Genomic DNA, 21,541 nt, shown 5'->3' with positions numbered 1-21,541 from the left:
GGCTCCTGAGGCTTCTGCATTCTTCACGTAGTTCTCGAGCCTTGGTTTTCAGCTCCATCAGCTCCTTTAAGCACTTCTCTGTATTGGTTATTCTAGTTATACATTCTTCTAAATTTTTTTCAAAGTTTTCAACTTCTTTGCCTTTGGTTTGAATGTCCTCCCGTAGCTCAGAGTAATTTGATCGTCTGAAGCCTTCTTCTCTCAGCTCGTCAAAGTCATTCTCCATCCAGCTTTGTTCCGTTGCTGGTGAGGAACTGCGTTCCTTTGGAGGAGGAGAGGCGCTCTGCGTTTTAGAGTTTCCAGTTTTTCTGTTCTGTTTTTTCCCCATCTTTGTGGTTTTTATCTACTTTTGGTCTTTGATGATGGTGATGTACAGATGGGTTTTCGGTGTAGATGTCCTTTCTGGTTGTTAGTTTTCCTTCTAACAGACAGGACCCTCAGCTGCAGGTCTGTTGGAATACCCTGCCGTGTGAGGTGTCAGTGTGCCTCCCAGTTAGGCTGCTCGGGGGTCAGGGGTCAGGGACCCACTTGAGGAGGCAGTCTGCCTGTTCTCAGATCTCCAGCTGCGTGCTGGGAGAACCACTGCTCTCTTCAAAGCTGTCAGACAGGGACACTTAAGTCTGCAGAGGTTACTGTTGTCTTTTTGTTTGTCTGTGCCCTGCCCCCAGAGGTGGAGCCTACAGAGGCAGGCAGGCCTCCTTGAGCTGTGGTGGGCTCCACCCAGTTCGAGCTTCCCCGGCTGCTTTGTTTACCTAAGCAAGCCTGGGCAATGGCGGGCGCCCCTCCCCCAGCCTCGTTGCCACCTTGCAGTTTGATCTCAGACTGCTGTGCTAGCAATCAGCGAGATTCCGTGGGCGTAGGACCCTCTGAGCCAGGTGTGGGATATAGTCTCGTGGTGCGCCGTTTCTTAAGCCGGTCTGAAAAGCACAATATTCGGGTGGGAGTGACCCGATTTTCCAGGTGCGTCCGTCACCCCTTTCTTTGACTCGGAAAGGGAACTCCCTGACCCCTTGCGCTTCCCAGGTGAGGCAATGCCTCGCCCTGCTTCGGCTCGCGCACGGTGCGCACACACACTGGCCTGCGCCCACTGTCTGGCACTCCCTAGTGAGATGAACCCGGTACCTCAGATGGAAATGCAGAAATCACCCGTCTTCTGCGTCGCTCACGCTGGGAGCTGTAGACCGGAGCTGTTCCTATTCGGCCATCTTGGCTCCTCCTCCTGAGTTAATAATATTAAGGGGGTCAGAGCTGCAGAAGAAATAGACTTTTTGATTGAGATTGCAGTTAAGTTGGTATCAATTTACCATCAAATGTCATAAATATACATATACATAACATAAAAAAGTATGTTATATGTAATCCCCATGGTAAGTGCAAAGAAAATATCTATAGAATATACGCAAAAGAAGAGGAAAAGAGAGTCACATTCTTGCATTACTAAAAAGCAACTAAACATAAAGGGCAGTAATGGAGAAAATGAGGAAAAATCATTATAAAATGCACAGAAAACAGAAATGAAAATGGCAAAAGTGAGTGCTTACCTATCAATAATTACTTATTTTATTTATCTCTCGTTTTATTTTATTTTTTGAGACTGAGTCTCACTCTGTTGCCCCAGGCTTGAGTGCAGTGGTGCGATCTCGGCTCACTGCAACCTCCGTCTTCCAGGTTCAAGTGATTCTCCTGCCTCAGCCTTCTGAGTAGCTGGAATTACAGGTGCCTGCCACCACACCCAGCTAATTTTTGTATTTTTAGTAGAGATGGGGTTTCATCATGTTGGCCAGGCTAGTCTCGAACTCCTAATCTCAGGTGATCCACCTGCCTCGGCTTTCCAAAGAAAGTGCTGGGATTACAGACATGAGCCACCACACATGGCCAGTAATTACTTCTAATGCATAAGAATTAAACACTCCAATAAAAATATATGAATTGGATGAATGGATACAAAAACAAGATGCTACTATACATTGTCTGCAAAACACTCACTTTCATTCTAAGAACATGCATAAGTTGAAAGACAATTGGTAAAAAAAAAAAAAAAAAAAAAGCAGAAAGCAGTAGACCAAGAGCAGCAACTTCCAACCCAGTTTATCTTTTAACAGTGATATGGGGGCAAGGGACCTTATAGGAAACCTTGTCATGAGGCTGTCCAATCCTGGAATACTGGACCCATCTCTCAATAAATGTTAAAGTTTCCAAAATTTTAGTAAGTCGAGGAGAAAAGGGATTTAAAAGTACTCACATTCTGTATTTCTATTTCCATAAAGTGGAAGCATTTTCCTCTTTATGAAACAACATAGAGTTGTTTAATTTACTTTGGAAACACTGTATTGGCAATACATTTTTGTTTACGCTAAGCAGCATAATAAGAAAAAGTGAATCCTTCACGTAAGTTAGGCTTTGAGAAAGCTGTTTTTATGACTGAGAGGCAACCAAGATACTTTCCTTTGCACTAAGTTTTGGTCTGCTTAGTGAAATCAAACCTTATCACTATAAAGATTTTTAGTGATGCCAAAAGCTAAACCAGTAGAATGCCCATGTGGCTATAACCAAATAGTTTTTCCTGCTTAGAGATGAACAGATTTCCAAATAGTAGATATTATATACATATGATCAAAAACACTAGCAAGCAAATTGTCTATGTAACCTAGTGATTCTGTGATCTCTCAACCACATACCTTTAAAACTCACTGTCATTTCATAAGTGATATGTTGATTAAAAAAGAGATTATTCAAATGTATGGTTGGAAATTGTGCTATCTTCTAGCACCATAGTTGCATTTTCAGAGAAAATAGCATGAAAAAGCTATTGATTATTTTTTACATGGAATGACAAAGCACCTTTGATAAGTAATTGGGGAGCAATAGAATTTAACAGGTTTTAATTTCTTGTGCAAATGAAAGACAATAAAGAGGGCTCTTGAAAGCAAATTAAGCCATATATAGGTCAATCATCCTATTAGGACTCTTCAGGGAACACATACCTAATTTGCATAATTGTATTTTTATAGCTGCCAGACTAGCTGCTGTGCTGATACATGTACTTGGTGAGTTTAAAAAACAAAAAGATTGTCTTTCTTATTCTAATGGTTAATGAGTAAGTGGGTAACAGTGTGTGTGTGTGTGTGTGTGTGTGTGTGTGTGTGTGTGTGTAACTAAAAAATATCCAGATATATATATTTCTAAAACAACTACTATTATTATATGACAAGTCTCTTTAGAAATTAAGATATGATTTACTAAACTTAAACATCCATTGAACATTACATAATAATCTATCTCCCTAGTATTTATATAAGCTTGTCCAAAAATATCACCCATTATAAAACTTGGACTAAACTTCTCATCATTTATAAGACAAAACCATATTTTATTAGCTAACATATTAAATGTATTTGCTATTGATTCAAATTGTATCAACTTCAGTCCAGGTTATGCCATGGTAGTCAGATATTAAAAACTGAAAATTTTACATGTTTTTGATGAATTACTGTGAGAATGCAAGATATCACTTGATAAATACAAATTATTGCAGAATAAATATTCATGGAGCTCATGAGAATAGGAAAGTTAGAGGGTTTTAAGAGTCTGATCAATGATCACCAGAGACCTCTTAACGGTCCATTCTTAGTGCTATTATTATAACTATTCTAGATGTTCTTATTGTAGGACAAAAAAAAACAACTATTCATAAATAAAAATTCCTCAAATTGATTCAAAAGTCATGAACTTCATGATTTTCTATGAAACTACTTGGTATATTGCTTGCCAGAATTCCATAATTTGCAATTTACTTATTTGAGTGCAGTTACAGCTTAATGATCCATGTGAGTGGAGTTAAATTGTGCAGGCTTCCCATAGACTAAATAATCTAAGAAGTGCATTTATTTATAATGTATTACAGACTGAGCTCATTTTATGCATTGAATACATTTCTATTTTTTTATAAATGAAATGATCACTTATTCACCAAGTCAGGAACTTCCTTCTGAATTCTATTATAATTTTGGAGCTGGGTCCCATAAAATAGAATACGTAACACTAGGCCTGCCTACCTTACAGGATTGTTGAAAAATATAAAATGCTAAAAATAAATGCTATAAACTGAAAGTTTGTGTTTCCGCAAAATTCATATGTTGAAATCCTAATACCGTATGTGATAGTATTATGAGATGGGGCCTTTGGGAGGTGTTTAGGTCCTGAGGGTGGATCTCTCATGAATAGAATTAGTGTTCTGATAGTAGAGGCTCCAGAGAGCTCATTAGTCCCTTCTGCCATGTGAGGACACAACAAAATGACAGCTGTCTCTCAACCAGGAAGTGGGCCCTCACCAGACACTGATTCTGTTAGCACCTTCATCTAGGACTTCTCAGCATTCAGAACTGCAAGAAATAAATTTTGGTTGTTTATAAGTCACCCAGTCTATAGTGATTTGTTCCAACAGCCTGAACAAAGACAAGATAAAATTACAAATGTTAATGATAAAATCAGGGATCAGGGAAATTCTGGTTCCATAGATTAAGTTAGGAAGTGTTTTTTTTCTCTCCACATTCTTGAAAGAGTTTGAGAAGTGTTGGTTTTAACTTTTCTTTAAACATTTGATGGAACTCACTAGTTTAACTATCTGATCCTGGATTTTTATTTGTTGAGAAGTTTTTCAGTATATTAAATGAAGTATTTCATTTCAAAATAATAAACCTCTCAATATATAAATGATTAGTCACAATAACACTAGAAGTAAGGAAGTTATAAAGTGCTTGCATCCATAAATAGAATCACCATGAATATGACAGCTAGGAATGCAGACTGATGTAAGTATATTGTATTGACAACTCAAATATCACAAGTAGCATTTCCTTCAGTGATGTGATTCTCTAAATTAGTGAACAACTCTTGGTAAGAGTGAATACATAAACCATAGGGGTTTATTATCGTTATCATTTATTATGTACTGCATATAATCATATGTGCTGCCCTTTTATATGAATGACAGTGCAACAGGTTCATTTACATGAGAATCACCACAAACCCATGTCTAAAATGTTGCCCTGATTTTCTAATTGCCAATTAGATGCATCCAATTAGAAAATCAGTTATGCATTCTAACTGATTTAGCTGGAGCACTGTCTAATCTCCAGCGAAAACTGAATGAGCATGCCAATGAGAAATCTTGCCACTCCACAGTGTTTAACCAGTGCTTTCAAAGCAGACAATTGGCCGGGCGCGGTGGCTCATACCTGTAATCCCAGCACTTTGGGAGGACGAGGCGGGCGGATCACCTGAGGTCGGGAGTTCGAGACCAGCCTGACCAACATGGAGAAACCCCGTCTCTACTAAAAATACAAAATTAGCCGGGCGTGGTGGCACATGCCAGTAATCCTAGCTACTCAGGAGGCTGAGGCAAGAGAATTGCTTAAACCTGGGAGGAGGAGGATGGGGTGAGCCGAGATCATGCCATTGCACTCCAGCCTGGGCAACAAGAGCGAATCTCCGTCTCAAAAAAAAAAAAAAAAAAAAAAGCAGACATTTATCTAAGTATTAATTACATTTTTTGCCTCCATGACTAGCCATTAAGCCTCATATCTGATGGTTTCTCTTATGACTAGGCCAACAGAGAGACGAAGAGCATCTCTTTCTCTAATTAATTTATTTAGCTTCTTTTGGAAAAAGTGCAAGCAAAAGAATAAAAAAAACACTCATGATGCATCCAAAGATTCAAAGGAGCCAGAATCCTCCAGATAGATCAATTGTTTTTCAGTACTTTTCCCTTTTGAATGAAAAGCAATTGTGTTGTTAAAAGAAAATGTATTCAAAACTATGACCAAGACTTTGAAGTTAAGCTAAGTTCATACATAAAATGAGCTAATTTTTATTGAATTAGCTCTGGGTCTGAATTTTATTTTAATCACCAAATTTAGGAAAATAAAAATAGGAGGTAATCAGTGTAAAAAAAATCAACTATCAGCAATTCAGTATATGTATATATATATATTTTTTATAAAGATAAATCAACTATTCAGTAAAGTTATCTATACTGCTATATTCAATATACATTTATACTGTATAGATTAAGTATAGATTCAGTCTATTCTGTATAGATATCTATTCCGTATAGATATCTATTCAGTATAGATATCTATATACTATACATGTATACAGATATCTATATTGAATAGTTGATTTATCTTTATAAATATATATACATACACTGAATAGTTTATAATTTGATATTTAAGAGATGTTTTTGTAGTCATGTAGTTAAGGTAAATATTTTAGACATGTGTACCAATAGACTATATAGTGTTGTGTTTGATTTCAAGTGAAAATGAAAATGTTCTCAGATTCAATGGACAGGTTGCAGCTGCATTTTAAAAATCCAAATTATACTGTTATTTGTATATATATCAAGTCAGTTGGAATGACTTTTGGTGTCAGGATCACATTAGTTCTCCCCAGCATCGAAGCTCAATTTGCAATTAGGAAACCACAACTTTCCACTCTGTCTTTTCTTTTTTATTATTTGTCCATGGGCACACAAAATAAGTGTAGAGCTCTGTCATATATTTCTCTGGTCTCAGCTCCTAACATGACCCCGATCTTCACTCCCAACCACAGTTCCAGTCAATTTAGCACTAATCAGCAGCACTTAATTCTGGCAAGCTTTAAAAACTAGGAAAAGACCTTTGAAGTTCCCATTCTACTGTATGTTAGTCAGATTTACTTTACCACAGAATTAAATAAGATTCCTAAAGAAGTCTATTTTGAAATTTTTTTCTTATTTCTTTGAATATTACTACCGTACTTTAAATATGCGAACCATAGCCCCATTAAAAAATAATTTCACTGTAATATATTTTCTCAACAATAACTCTTTAATAATACCTTGTATAAATCAGATTGGGAGTTTGTATACCATTGGATCTGGACTTAAGATGCACTCAATTAGTCTACTTGATAGCAAATTGTTAAAGTGTGTATGTGTGAGTATGTACATCTGTAGAGAAAGGCATGAGAAGGAGACAAAATATACAAATGTCATGAAAAAAACTTATTTTGCAAGCATTTATATATGCAATTCCAATGCCGTTTAAATTATTTTTCTTGTTAAGAAAAGAATTTGAGGCCAAGTAGGGTTGCTTATGCCTATAACCTCACCACTTTGGGATGCTGAGGTGGGAGGACTGCTTGAGGTCAGCAGTTCAAGTCCAACTTGGGCAACATAGTGAGACATCATCCCTAACAACAGCAACAAAAATTTAGCAATTCGCTGATCATGGTAGCACATGCCTATAGGGAGGCTGAAGAAGAGGTAATCGCTTGAGCCCAGGAACTCGAGGCTGCAGTGAGCTATGATCCCATTACTACATTCTAGCCTGGGTGATAGAACGAGATCCTATCTCAATTAAAAAAAAAAAAAAAAAAAAAAAAAAGAAAAGAAAAAAGAAGAAAAGGTGGTTAGGGGTGAAGCCATGCACATACAATGGATAATGTACAATTGTTAAGATGAATGAGTAGAAAAGTAATGACACAGAAAGATATTTATAATATATTAAATGAACAGGGGTTAAAAAATAGAAAGTATATTTATAATATAAAAAATAGTATATTTATAATATATTAAATGAACAGGGGTTAAAAATAGAAAGTATATTATTGATATTATTGTACCATTTTTACTAAAATATGGGCATATAAATAGATAAAAAATTTAACCAGAAGGAAATACATTAAATATTAACAGTAGTTTTCTCTGGGTTATTTTTTCTTTTTTGCTTCTCTACATTTTCTTCTAATATGAAAAACTTTGCAGTAATAAGATATGAAAGTTATGTTAAAAACATGATTACATAAAAATGTAGGAATATAAGGACAGAATAAAATTTTAAATTTCTTAACTTAAAAATAATCACCCGTTAAAATGTTGGGGCAGTTCCAGCCAGGCATTCTATTCTCTGGACTTTTTTCTTTATTGAGCTCATACTTTCTTTTGAAGTTTTCTCAATGTCTTCTCTATTACAGCTGGTCTAAGTTTATCACTGGCTTAGATTAAACTAGCACGTAATAAGGTATCATCATGCTCATAAAAACAGAGAACTACGTACACAGCTTCTGTAAGCAGAAGACAGCTTTTATGCTATGATACTCCCTCCCCCAAATTGCACATTATCTTTCCTACCCCATTCTATCAAGAATGCTACTTAGGTAGTCATTTTGCTTTCCGCCTTGTACAGAACAGTGCTTATTAGAGCTATTTGGTAATAATTACTAGTTATTAAAGTACTCAAATATTTCTGAATTGACTGTATTGATCCACTCACTGCAACCTCCGCCTCCTGGGTTCAACCAATTCTCCCGTCTCAATCTCCCGAGTAGCTGGGACTACAGGCGCATGCTGCCACATCCGGCTAATTTCTTTTGTATTTTAGTAGAGATGGGGTTTCACCATGTTGCCCAGGCTGGTCTCGAACGCCTGAGCTCAGGCAATCTGCCTGACTTGGCTTCCCAAAGTGCTAGGATTACAGGCAGTGAGCCACCACCCCCGGCCCTAACTGTATTTTTAAATGGATGGAACTCGTAAGCTTTTCAATTTGTTTTATGCTTCTTTAATTCTTTTTTCATTACTGATATTTCTTCATTTCATCACTCCTCACATTTTTGTCATACCTTTTAAATGATTGGTACTTATTTTAAAAAGAATTGTCTATCACGGATCAGTGAAGACTGGCATTTATCTCATGTTTTCAAGAAGCTAGCATCTGCCCACTCGCCCTAAATGATTAGTTCTTTCTAATCCTGCAGTTAGGAGTGTACAATACTTCTCTCTCTCCCCCCCAGCTTCTGTGGACACAGCAGCTGTCTCTCAGTCACCTCTTCTCCTTTCTGCTGCTGGTCCATCACACATGCTGCTTGCGGCTTGGAATGTTATTCACCTCCCACTGCTTTTCACCTATTTTACTCATACTTAGCTATTTGCTCTCGGCTAAATCTCAGTTCATCCCCAGGGAACCCATACCTTACTCCTTATACACATACCCCATAGGTTAAATTCTATTCTCTCACACAGTTTATAGCACAGTGATCTTCTTAGGATCTTCTGCAGGGTTAATTTGATATTAAGTGTATGTATAACTTGCTTAATGTTCACTTTCCTCACTAGATTGTATACAACCTGGCAGAAGGGAACCATGCTTAATATAGGCTTTGACTCATTATGTAACCTCTCTTCCCCTCATTAGCATATAGTAGGAAATTAATATATTTGTTGAGTGCCCAGATGAATGAATAAAAAACTAACAAAAGCACTTAAAGCCTTCATATTATCATCAAGTGATACTGGAAGACTCAAACTATACATGGTTAACAGTATGACAAAAGAACACTTATGTTGGGATATGTGGGTTCAAGCCTGGCTCTGCCTTCAACTCACCTTGTGATCTTGAGTTAAGTAGCTTTACCTTTCTTTATTTTTCCTATTTGTAAAATGGTGGGGTTTTATCCAATGAACTTTAATGACTTTACAGTTTTAAGATTCTATGCTTCCATGAAAAATAGGAAGGGGAAAAACATGGAATAAGAATTGTGGTTCCAGAAAGGAAGGAGGGATGATGAAAAATGACAAGTACATTCGATTGTGACAAGGCCCATGTAGATTTCATGTCCTGTAAACAGACTACTGTGGGGCAGAGATGGTAGGTTAAAAATACTTCCCAAAATTAAGCAGAATGACCCATATCAAAATACTTTGGGTATTCTCCACATGAATATCCTCTACAAAAGACAGCAGTAAACTGAATGTCTTACTCTCTCCTGAGATTAACATATCATTCAATAATGAGTTTGTTATTTAATAGCTGTATGTGCAGTTGAATCCAGAATGTTTAAACTCTAGATTCCATGATAATGGAGTAGGAATAACTTCGTTTGTGTGTGATTCCATTTTGTTCTTCCTTAGTTGAATTTTCCAAATACAAAACTACACATTTAAATATAAGCTGAAAAAATTCAGTTGCAGATAATTCTAACATAAAATCAATATACCTTTTCTCTGTAATGGGGCCATACTGTTCTTTGATGTGAGAAAAATATATATATTCATATAACCTTCCTCATTTTATTTACATCTGTGATAATCACTTCTTTCATGTACCAGGAACAACTGGCTACCATTGCCAATATGTTGCAAGTAACTCTCTCTTCTCTTACAACTTTTGGCAAGCTATTTTAAGTGAAATGGCAGAGCCTGGCCTTGGACACTCATGTTTTTTTCTATGAGATTTTTTCCTTTGTGCTTCTTTCTCCCACCTTCAAAGTTTTACTGCATTGAATATTAAAGTGGTTATTATTTAATTACCAGTTTTACTCTGTTACCATGTCTGTTTCAACCTCCCTTTCAATTAAAAGATGAATGAAACATTTTAATTTTTAATAAAAAGTGGAAATTATGCTTTTTTAGAAGCTGCTCAAGTACTCATTAAAGCTAGAATTGTTCCAGCAAGTTCAAATTACATATTTGTTCAATGTAAATAATTCCTAGGCTTTTTGAGTGCACAGTATATAATGTGTATTATCTTCAACAGCCAACCTTATTTACATGCTATTGGTGCTTCATAATATCATTTTAATAAGAGGTACTTCAAAAAGTTTATAAGGCCTTAGTGTGACCAAACTATACAATAACAAAATAATAAAAGCTCATCTGAAGATATTTAGGGGGATTTCTCTATAATAGATACAATTTATTGAGTGTTTACTATGTGCCCAGCACCATGCCAAACACTTTACTTGCATTATCTTACTTCCCTTCATAACCACAAGTTCTATAATCATCCTCACTTTACAAAGAAAAAAAAAACAGAAAATCATGAAGATTAAATAACTCACAGAAGGCTACACAGCTAGTAAACAATAATGCTTGGATTCCAACCTAGGTTCATCTCAAGCTCCCTTTAGCCGTAATGCTTTGCTGACCCACTATCCAATTTTAGGCTAGATAATTGCTGAAGTCAGGGTTGGTCTTCAGTAAAGCAGCCTGTACTGGAGATTATTTAAAACTGTTTTGTAATTGCCAAGAATGATGGTCCACATGAGTAGAATTAACTTTCTATGGTTCGATAGAATCTATAGAATCAGTATTAGCATCCCTTTCAGTAAAACTTCTGGGTGATCATTTGCACTTCTGACTGGATTTAAATTAAAGATCAGCAAACCCCTTCATAGCATTAGTTTTACTTATAGCTCACATTTCAAACATCATTATGGCTTACCACTTTATAATCAATGTATTTAAAAAATGTCAGATTGCCTTCAGTTAAGAACTGAACACGTAGATGAGTCTCGTCTCTATAGATTCACCAAATGCATGTTACAGAATGGGCACAAAAAAGTAGTCTATAGCATTAAAGAACATGTCAGGGACACAGTCTTAATTAAACTTAAATTAGGAAAGACATTATTTGTTTATTGCCAAAGAAACCAAGCTCTTTTTTCAGAAACATCAAATTATAATTTTTTTTTTTTTGAGATGGAGGCTCGCTCTGTCGCCCAGGCTGGAGTGCAGTGGCGCCATCTCGCCTCACTGCAAGCTCCGCCTCCCTGGTTCACGCCATTCTCCTGCCTCAGCCTCCCGAGTAGTTGGGGCTACAGGCTCCCGCCACAATGCCTGGATAATTTTTTTGTATTTTTAGTAGAGACGGGGTTTCACTGTTTTAGCCAGAATGGTCTCGATCTCCTGACCTCGTGATCCACCCACCTCGGCCTCCCAAAGTGCTGGGGTTACAGGCGTGAGCCACCACGTCCGGCCTAAAAATTTTTATACATATGATAATAGTATTTCAAACATTCAGTTTCAGGGACTATCTAATGGCATTTCTATACATGTCTGATTCAAACAATGAATTTTAAAACACCAAGGAGGGAAGTCAGTATTGCCATTTTCTACAACACTACACAGGACAGAAATTTCTTTTAACCTTGGCAATGCTAAGAAACATGATGTGAGGCAGTCAAGAATACTATGTTGGAGAGATTTCAGAGTTCTCATCCTCTCCTTCTCCAATGCATTTATACTTCGGTTTCCTGCAAATGCCTCAAACTCAGTATTTCTAAATGAAGATTCAGCAGTTTCCTTTGCAGTTCAGTTCTAGACAGTTGGAAAGATGCTGGATTACCTAGTCAGAATCACTTGACATTGAAAAGCACGTGGAATAAATATTGGGTATTAGCCACATGATAGCACAGCAGAAATATATAGTGACAACCATTTATTCAACAGCCACTCTGTATGTGGAGTTTTGCATTGGAGACTCCTAGATAAGCAAGATTTGACCCCTGTTCTGAAGGAGTTCACAATTAGTAGGAGAGAAAGATAGGTTAATAAATAGTCACAATGTGACAGATGATATAAATACAGGTTTGTATAAATTCCTATGAGACCGTCTGTAAACTGAGGTCTGAGTTTCCTTATTTTTGACTTCAATGTTCCTTCAAGGATTCAAGTCGAGCCCTGAACCACAACTTACTTGTTTGGGTCTTGAGTGCTTCTTCGGTCCCCAGGGTCTGTACTACCTCCTAGCCCCAAGCCTTGGCTCTTGATCTATGGTGCACATTCAAAAACACAGCATTGAAAATAATGATTCTAACATAAAAAGGAAATGCTATTTAAAATAGCAATTTAAAAGTTCCTAGAAGTAAACTACATTTACAAAATACACAGAACCAAAACACTGAAGCAAAATTTAAAATATTACTGACTCTGTCACTGTGGAAATACCAGACTGGCTCTTTAGGCGTGAAGAAGGTCAGCTGACCCAGACCTAACCCTGGGCCCTAAGGAAATTTACCAAGGTTATCAGCTAAACTCTGAGGCTGAATCAAGTATCTCTGAGTTCTCTGAACAAGTTGAAAGCGTACTAATCAGGATGACTGGTTTGAATTTACAGTCGATTTTAAATCTAGCTGTTAAAGAACTGAAACCATGAATCCATACGCCAATGACGCAGGCATAGTTGGAAAAGGCTACAAAACAGTACGTAAGCCATAAAAGAATAAAACGTCTAAACATGTGTATGTATACACACCCCCAACACACACACACACACCGTAAAAAAACCCACACACACTGGGGATATCTTGCTGTGATCAGAGAACAAAGTGGCATGCAACCAAGACCTCATAGGAAGAGGAGAAAAGGATGATACACATTTATTTCTAAATCGAGGATCCTAAAACTTTCCACTATTGATATTCAAAGAGAAAAATTATAAGACCGTGTACAGCCAGCTATCCTCCACTCTGCATTGTTCTGTCTGAACCAGATTCTGCCGAGTATATCAAGCTCTATTGGCAAATTTATAAAGATACTAGCATGGTAAATAGGGCCTTTCATTGTAAAATAGTGAGAGGTGACAGCGTGCTGGCAGTCCTCACAGCCCTCGCTCACTCTCCGCACCTCCTCTGCCTGGGCTCCCACTTTGGCGGCACGTGAAGAGCCCTTCAGCCCGCCGCTGCACTGTGGGAGCCCCTTTCTGGGCCGGAGCCGGCTCCCTCAGCTTGCGGGGAGGTGTGGAGGGAGAGGCCCGGCGGGAACCGGTGCTGCGCACGGTGCTTGCGGGCCAGTGCGAGTACCGAGTGGGTGTGGGTTCGGGGGCCCCACACTCGGAGCGGCCTTGGGGCCCGCCAGCCCCGCCGGCCCCACCGGCCCCAGGCATTGAGGGGCTTAGCACCTAGGCCAGCAGCTGCTGTGCTCATTTTCTCAACGGGCCTTAGCTGCCTTCCTGCGGGGCAGGGCTCCGGACGTGCAGCCTGCCATGCCTGAGCCTCCGGCCCTCCCCTCTCCACGTCCGTGGGCTCCTGTGCCTCCCGAGCCTCCCCCACAAGCACGGCCCCCTACTCCATGGTGCCCAGTCCCATTGACCACCCAAGGGCTGAGAAGTTAGGGTGCAGGGCGCAGGACTGGCAGGCAGCTCCACCTATGGCCCAGGTGTGGGATCCACTAGGTGAAGCCAGCTGGGCTCCTGACTCTGGTGGGGACCTGGAGAACCTTTATGTCTAGCTAGGGGATTGTAAATACACCAATCGGCATTCTGTATCTAGCTCAAGGTTTGTAAACACACCAATCAGCACCCTGTGTCTAGCTCAGGGTTTGTGAATGCACCAATCGACACTCTGTATCTAGCTACTCTGGTGGGGACTTGGAGAACCTTTGTGTCCACACTCTGTATGTAGCTAATCTAGTGGGGAGGTGGAGAACCTTTGTGTCTGGCTCAGGGATTGTAAATACACCAATCAGCACCCTGTCAAAACAGACCACTCAGCTCTCTGTAAAATGGACCAATCAGCAGGATGTGGGTGGGGCCAGATAAGAGAATAAAAGCAGGCTGCCGAGCTAGCAGTGGCGACCCACTCCAGTCCCCTTCCATGCTGTGGAAGCTTTGTTCTTTCGCTCTTTGTAATAAATCCTGCTGCTGCTCACTCTTTGGGTCCACACTGCCTTTATGAGCTGTAACACTCACCGCGAAGGTCTGCAGCTTCACTCATGAAGCCAACGAGACCACGAACCCACCGGGAGAAATGAACAACTCCAGACACGCCGCTTTAAGAGCTGTAACACTCACCGCGAAGGTCTGCAGCTTCACTCCTGAGCCAGCGAGACCACGAACCCCACCAGAAGGAAGAAACTCCGAACACATCCGAACATCAGAAGGAACAAACTCCAGACACGTCGCCTTTAAGAACTGTAACACTCACCGCGAGGGTCCACGGCTTCATTCTTGAAGTCAGTGAGACGAAGAACCCACCAGTTCTGGACACAATAGGACAATTCTGTAGAATAGCGTGAGACTTTGTAATTACGGAAAAGATTAATGGATGATTTTCTGGATGACTATATTCACCGACATTTAGATATTTAGTGGATTACTACCAGTTTGATTCAGCTCTGTCACATGCTTTGTTAGATAACCAGTCAGCTCAAGAGCTCAAAGCTCAGGCTAGTATAATATGACAATTTTGTAAAAACAGAAGCATAGAAAAAGACGTGTACAAAATCAATGCTTCAGGAAGTATTTGATAGTCATTCTTCAGTTTTGTTGAAAATTTCAGAAATAAATTTTATTTTTTACCAATTATGTTGAAAACACAGAAGTAAATAAAAGAAGCCTTAATAAAAAGAAAAGAAATACTGTACTTAGTTTTTGGAGGAAGATTCAATAATATAAAGAATATAATTATCTGCATAAATTCAACATGTTAATTCACGTGGAGAAAATAAATATATAATAGGCAGAAATAGTCTAGAAAAGAAAATAATGGAGATGGAGAGTAATAGGAACTACTAGGTATTAAAGCATCTAATAAAGCTAAGGTATTAGAATATATTGGAATAGACACATTAATAGATAGACCAATAGATTATGAAAGAGAGACCAGCTATTTATCCAAATACATCCAGAAATTAAAGCTGATAAGTTGACTTTTCAGATAAAAGAGAGATGTATTATTTAACACATAATTCCTTAAATAAGTCAAAGATACATCTTAAAATAAATAGTTTCAGTGCTAGGAGAAAGCATAGGATAGGTTTTCTTAGAAATTCTAGAGGTGGAAAAGAATTGCCTCAGCTAAATACAAAATAGAAACCCAGAAGACATTAAACAATACATTGTAGTTGACTACGTAAAAATAAAAATAAAGTAATACATACAAACCATATCATAAACCAAGTCAAAACATAAATGTCAAAATGGGAAAAATATTTGCAACACATATGACAGTCAAAAAGTTGATTTTTAAAATATATAAATAACTCCTAGAAATCAATAAGATGGCCTCTTCTGGGGATGCTGTCTAGAGGCTTTCAGAATGGTCCAGCACTTGATAGACCATCACAGACCTTCCTACAATAAATAGAGCCTCTAACAAAACTAGGCTTTCCTAGACCAATGGTAATAGAATTTTTTATTTTTATACAGGAAGGTTGAGAAAGCACCAAAATCTGCCTGTGGCATGTGCCCAGGCTGACTTTGAAGGGTTCAATCTGTGAGTCCTAAAATTCTTATGATGTTGTCTAAAATAAACAAACAAAAACGTCAGCAGGGCCTATGGTGGTTCTATGCATGGTAAATGTGTTTGTGACAGGATTAAACATGCTTTTTTTTTTTTTTTTTTAAATCAAGGAGCAGGCAATCATGGTAAGTGTTGAAGACTAAATTCTGACCTTTTCTCAAAATTTCTTTCTAAGGGGCTTGGAGAGAATCATGTCTGCAGACCATCAATCATGCTAAACAGGTCACTTTGACTCAGAAACTTTTGGCTTGCTCTCACAACCTGACTCCCGCATAGCATCACATGGTAATTAACAGGCTTCCTTATCTTAACTTAAGCATTCCTTTCTGCTTACTCCATGTTTTTAGACAAAGCTTTTTTCCTTTAAACAATTGCAAATTAAAAAATCTCGGAACCCACCTATGACCTGTAAATCCCCACTTTAAGGTATCCTTCCTTTTTGGCCAAACCAATGTATAATCACCGTGTATTGACTTTTGACTTTGCCTGTAACTCTGCTTCCCTAAAATAGACTTGCAGTCTGACTACCTCGGGAACACTTTATCAGTATTTCTTGAGATTGTGTTTTCCTTGGCTGCATTCACCCGTATTAGCTAAGAATAACCTTTTAAAAATATTTTAGAGAGTTTAATTCTTTTCCATTGACAGTGTTAAAGGTACAAGCACAGAGTCAATAAACAACATTTAAAAATAACACTTTTTTGAGTAGTAAACATTGAAAGACTTTCAAAAGATCAATAAGATAGAAACATAAAACTTAAAAAGAAAACAGGAAAAGGCATAAATAAGCAGTTAGTAGCAATAACTACAAACTAAAAAATTGCTATAAACGTAAAAGTATGTTCATTATCACTCATAATTTTAAAAATGAAAATAAACTTTTGGAGGTATAATGATAAATTTTGTTAGGCAATATTTGAAAGAAATATATTTCTTATGCATTTTTATTGCCTGTCAACATTAATAAAAACTTTATGGTGCACAATTTGGGAAGACTTATCAAAATATTAAATGCATATGATTTGACCTAGTAATTACACTTTTCAAAATATATCTTACAGCTATATTCACAAATGGGCACAGGATATATGACCACTGATTTTCATTGCAGTATTGTCTATAACAGAAAACAAACATAATATTAATTAAATAATATATGGCATCCATATAATGGAATAACATACTTAACAAATATTTAAAGCACATCTGCTATGCACTAAGCACTATTTCAGAAACTAAAGACAAAACAGTGAACAAGATAGATGGAGTACCTGTTTTCATGAAGGTTGCCTTCTATTTGGATGGTGAGAAAACAGACAAGTAAACAGATACACAAGATTATTTCAGATAGGCAAAAGTTGAGGAAAATTAAACAGGTGCTATGATGAACATGTGGCTACTTAATATTGGATGAACAGATGGAAGATCTCAGAAAAGGGAAAATTGCACAGTAAACTAAATAAAGTGAGAACTCAAGCCATGGGGAGTTACGTGGAGGGAATCTGGGAGAAAGAACGTTTCATACAAAGTGCAGACACAACCAATATAAAGAACAAACTAATGAATCTAGGTGTACTGATATTTAAAGAGATTCAAGGCACCCTGTCAAGTGATAAAAGTAAAGTATGAAATAGTGTGTATAGTATACTTCTGTGAGGATAGAAAAAAGAAGAAAAAAATACTATTTTTCTAAGATGAAATCTGAAATGATTCAGAATAAACTGACAGCAATTGTTGCTTGTGGCAGAGAGAGAGCTGGGAGACTCAGAATCAAGAATGGGAAAGAGATTTACTATTCCTTTTATGATTTTTGAATGATTTGTTTTATGTATGAATTACTTTAAAAATGATCTGCCTTATCCAGTGTTCTAAGATGCCCTCCACAAGATTCCTAGTCTTTTGTTATTCAAAGTAAACACTAATATAGTTACTATCGTGAAGAGATCTTGAAGATATAATTAAAGTCGCAAATCAGTTGACTTTAAAATGTAAAGAATATCTGGTGGGCTTGACCTAATGAAATGAAATGTTTAAAAGCAAAAAGTTTTACCTTGCTGGTCAGAGAAAAGCAATCCAGAAATTCAAAACTTGAGAAAAATCCAACGTGCTGTTGCTGGCTTGAAGATGCAAGGGTCCCCATAGCAAGGACTGAGAGCAGCACCTAGGAGCTGAAAGTGGCCCTTGCTCAACAACTAGCAAGAAAACAAGAGCCTCAGTCTTAGGACTGTAAGAAACTAAATTCTGACCACAACCTGAATGAGTTTAGAAGAGGCCCCCGAACCTCAGATGAGATAGCAGCCCCATCTATCATCTTCCAACCATGCCATGCCCAGACTTCTGACCTACAGAAAATGTAAAATGCTAAATGCATATTGTTTGAAGTCCCTTAATTTGTAGTAACTTGTTAAGCAATCATAGATACTTAATATACAAACAAACAAAATCGAAAAACTACAAGAAAATTCTAATTACTCGGGGATTCTAATTCAAAAAGTCTGGAATAAAGCCCAGGAATCTGCATTTTAAATAACCTTCACTGATGATTTTGATACATATAGGTCAATAGACCACAACTTCACTATGAGTAACCCACCATATTGAATTTCCTGAGTGTACACCAAGGCGAATTCTGAGTTTACCACAACTCTTTGATTAATATGCTTGATCTTGCCGTTCTTTTTTGCTTTTCATTTTTTCTTATTTGAAGCTTGGTCTCACATCCAGTTAGGTGCCTTAGCCTTGCTGATTTTCTGTATATTCCATCTTCCACTAAGGTCTTTATATAATTTTGGGCCCATGTAGGTTATCGAAGCTCTATACTGTAATTCTATATCTTTTGAAAACTCTTTTAGCATTTCATGTCTGTGCACTCTTTTAGACCTTAAACAGAATAATATAAACTTTTATTAAGTTTGGATGTGAATTTATTGCCAGTCAATGACACTGTCAGATCCTTAATAGCAAGGAATAAATTTAGGCTTCATTTTATTTTTCCGATGGGAGATATCAGCTTTCTATATACATAGCTCTACAATAACAAATGAATGAATAAAATGATTGGTTAGTATCAAAGAATTTTCTGGGAAAATACTAAGTTTTTGACTTTTAACTTTATTGTTGCATCTAGCACAGAGATACTTAAAATTTCCTAAGTATCTGGTACATTTTACAAGCAGTCTACCAGACACTAGACAACAATAGGAGAAGAAGAGTACCCTTGAAGAATTCATAGCCTAATTGTAGAGATAGCATGAAAGAAATAATATTTATATAATAAGTATATTAGACATATAAATCAAGTATTGAGGAAGCACAGACACAGGAACTACTAGCTATGAGAGAGTGAGAAGGCTTCCCAGAAAAAGTTACATTTAAGGTGAATTGTGAAAGATTAGTACAAGTTTTCCAGACACATAAGTATTTTTAATGATTTTATACAAATTTATACTTTTGAATTAAACATTAGGAGTCACATTAGACATACAAATGTCATTATATGTTTTCAATTTCTTACATATAGATGTGTTTCAGGATTCAAGATAATTCAGACTTTTTAAATGTTATAATGTATACGTTGCATATATTAACAATCTCATCCCCATCTGAAGCAGTACTCTACAATCAAATAGATTAATATTTCTGTCACAATATGTATAGATATTTATGTCCGGTGAACAAACAAAGACAAGAAATGGTCATAAGTCAGTTCAGATCATGTTTTGCCACAAAATAAATTTTGGCATCAGCCTAAACAAAAAGTTGACTCTTCAGTGGTTTTCGGAATTGCAGATTCCATTGTAGAGCTATATATGGTTAAAACATTTTTCAGAAAGGTTTTGCTTCCTTTAAACTAATCGTTGATTTAAAAGAACTCTTTCAGAAGTGGTTGAGGAAAGAATTGAAACCAGATAAATCCAAACAACATCTGGACTCTAGATTTGGCTGGCCAGGTAAATACAAGAAAATAGTACCTGAACAAGAATCATTGTCCCTCTGCCTTTGGCAACCTACATTGCTGCATTTACTTAAATGGAAATTCTTAATCTGAAATAATAGCTCAGTTGCAAATTTCTATACTGAATAAAATTTCCATTAACTGTTATGTGAATAAAGAAAGAATATATAACCCTGACAGAGTGTAGGGCCTAAGGGCAAAATGTCACACTTAAGGATGAGACAGATCATTCATAATCTCAGGGTTACCGGAATAAAATATTCTTTTGTTATAGAACATGATAATTGAGTAGTTTTCTTCCTGGCAAATACTGGCAAACACTTTAGGAATCATTCTTTCCTAGATGTAAAGCTAAGGGAGTGCAGATAGAAGCATACTCTCCAGTTGCCAGCCTGTAAAAGAATCAGAGATGCTAATATTTAAAAATTCTCACATGATGGTAAGCAAGGTGTAGGAAGAGAGGATGCACAAACACACACACACACACACACACACACGCACACACACACACACATTGCAATGCTCTGGAGATTATCCTTCCTGTGCCACTCTTCCTCCACTTTCCCATGAAGCTAATCACTCTGTCTTTTTTTTGTTCCTGTGTATTTTTGTTTAGACATCAATTAGAGTGCTCATTACACTGTGCATTTATGCGTTTAAGTGAGCTCTCCAATACTAGACTGAACTCCAAGAGCAGGAACTGTGTTCTTTTCATTTATGTAGCTAACTGCCACAATGTCTGCTGGGCATTTCTACTTAACACAATGAATAAACTAAAGAAAATGGAAGTAAAAATGAGAGAAAGTCTGATATACATGGCTTTATCACTAATTTCAATTTGAATTATTTTTGGCCCTGGACATCTGGGGCAGTGTCATGTATTCCTTCCCAAATAAAGGATATGGGCCTACTAACAAGCTCATTAGGTTCCACACCAGTGGGTATGTTCATTTACTGCGCATGAGAAAGCAGCAGAGATCATTCAAACCCATGGAATGGGATTTCTTTCATTCCAAAGTGCCTCCCATAAGTTTTCCTTAGCCACAAAAGATCTGTTAGAGACCAGCAAACTTTACTTTGCCTTCTCAAAATATTCCTTTCTCAGGTTTTCTTTTACTCTGTTGTTTTTAGTATTGATAAATACAGGTGAAAGTTGTTGTTTCAGGAACATGAAATGTATAGTCATCACAAATACATGATTTCATAAGTTTAAATTTCTGAGAAAATATTTTTCTATCTGCCTCTATAAAGCGTATTTTATTTTAAAAAGCAGGATTCCACCCAATAAAATTGGTATATTTTGAAACATTATACAAGGTTTGATTTAGAGGAAACAAGGGACATACAATTGAAACAGTTTTTTTTTCTAATGCATGTATTATAATAAAAAGAGAGTTGAGGTGAAAGCTTTAATGATATGCATTGCTTTCTGTCAAGTTCCAAAGTTCACTTGTCCCTGAGATGTGCTTGTACCAAATGTCCCTCTTCTAATTTCTAGTTAACTAAGTCTTAACTTTTGGCCAT

General features: G+C 37.2%; 2 pseudogenes, besides 2 other annotated features; both read left to right on the top strand.

Moving 5' to 3' along the window:
* Nucleotides 389–965: an enhancer, noted in NCBI's record as "H3K27ac-H3K4me1 hESC enhancer chrX:87076663-87077239 (GRCh37/hg19 assembly coordinates)". NCBI's record gives its function as "activates a minimal SCP1, AML or CMV promoter by ChIP-STARR-seq in naive and primed H9 embryonic stem cells {active_cell/tissue: H9 hESC(naive and primed)}" and the evidence as "EXISTENCE:reporter gene assay evidence [ECO:0000049][PMID:30033119]".
* Nucleotides 966–1,542: an enhancer, noted in NCBI's record as "H3K27ac-H3K4me1 hESC enhancer chrX:87076086-87076662 (GRCh37/hg19 assembly coordinates)". NCBI's record gives its function as "activates a minimal SCP1, AML or CMV promoter by ChIP-STARR-seq in primed H9 embryonic stem cells {active_cell/tissue: H9 hESC(primed)}" and the evidence as "EXISTENCE:reporter gene assay evidence [ECO:0000049][PMID:30033119]".
* MRPS22P1 (mitochondrial ribosomal protein S22 pseudogene 1) lies at nucleotides 12,890–13,346 on the top strand (annotated as a pseudogene).
* RPL34P36 (RPL34 pseudogene 36) lies at nucleotides 15,825–16,786 on the top strand (annotated as a pseudogene).

This window comes from Homo sapiens, chromosome X (genome assembly GCF_000001405.40).
Source record: "Homo sapiens chromosome X, GRCh38.p14 Primary Assembly".
Lineage (NCBI taxonomy): Eukaryota > Metazoa > Chordata > Mammalia > Primates > Hominidae > Homo > Homo sapiens.
Note: the sequence above shows the minus strand (reverse complement) of the source record. Positions and strands in the feature narration are given on the sequence as shown.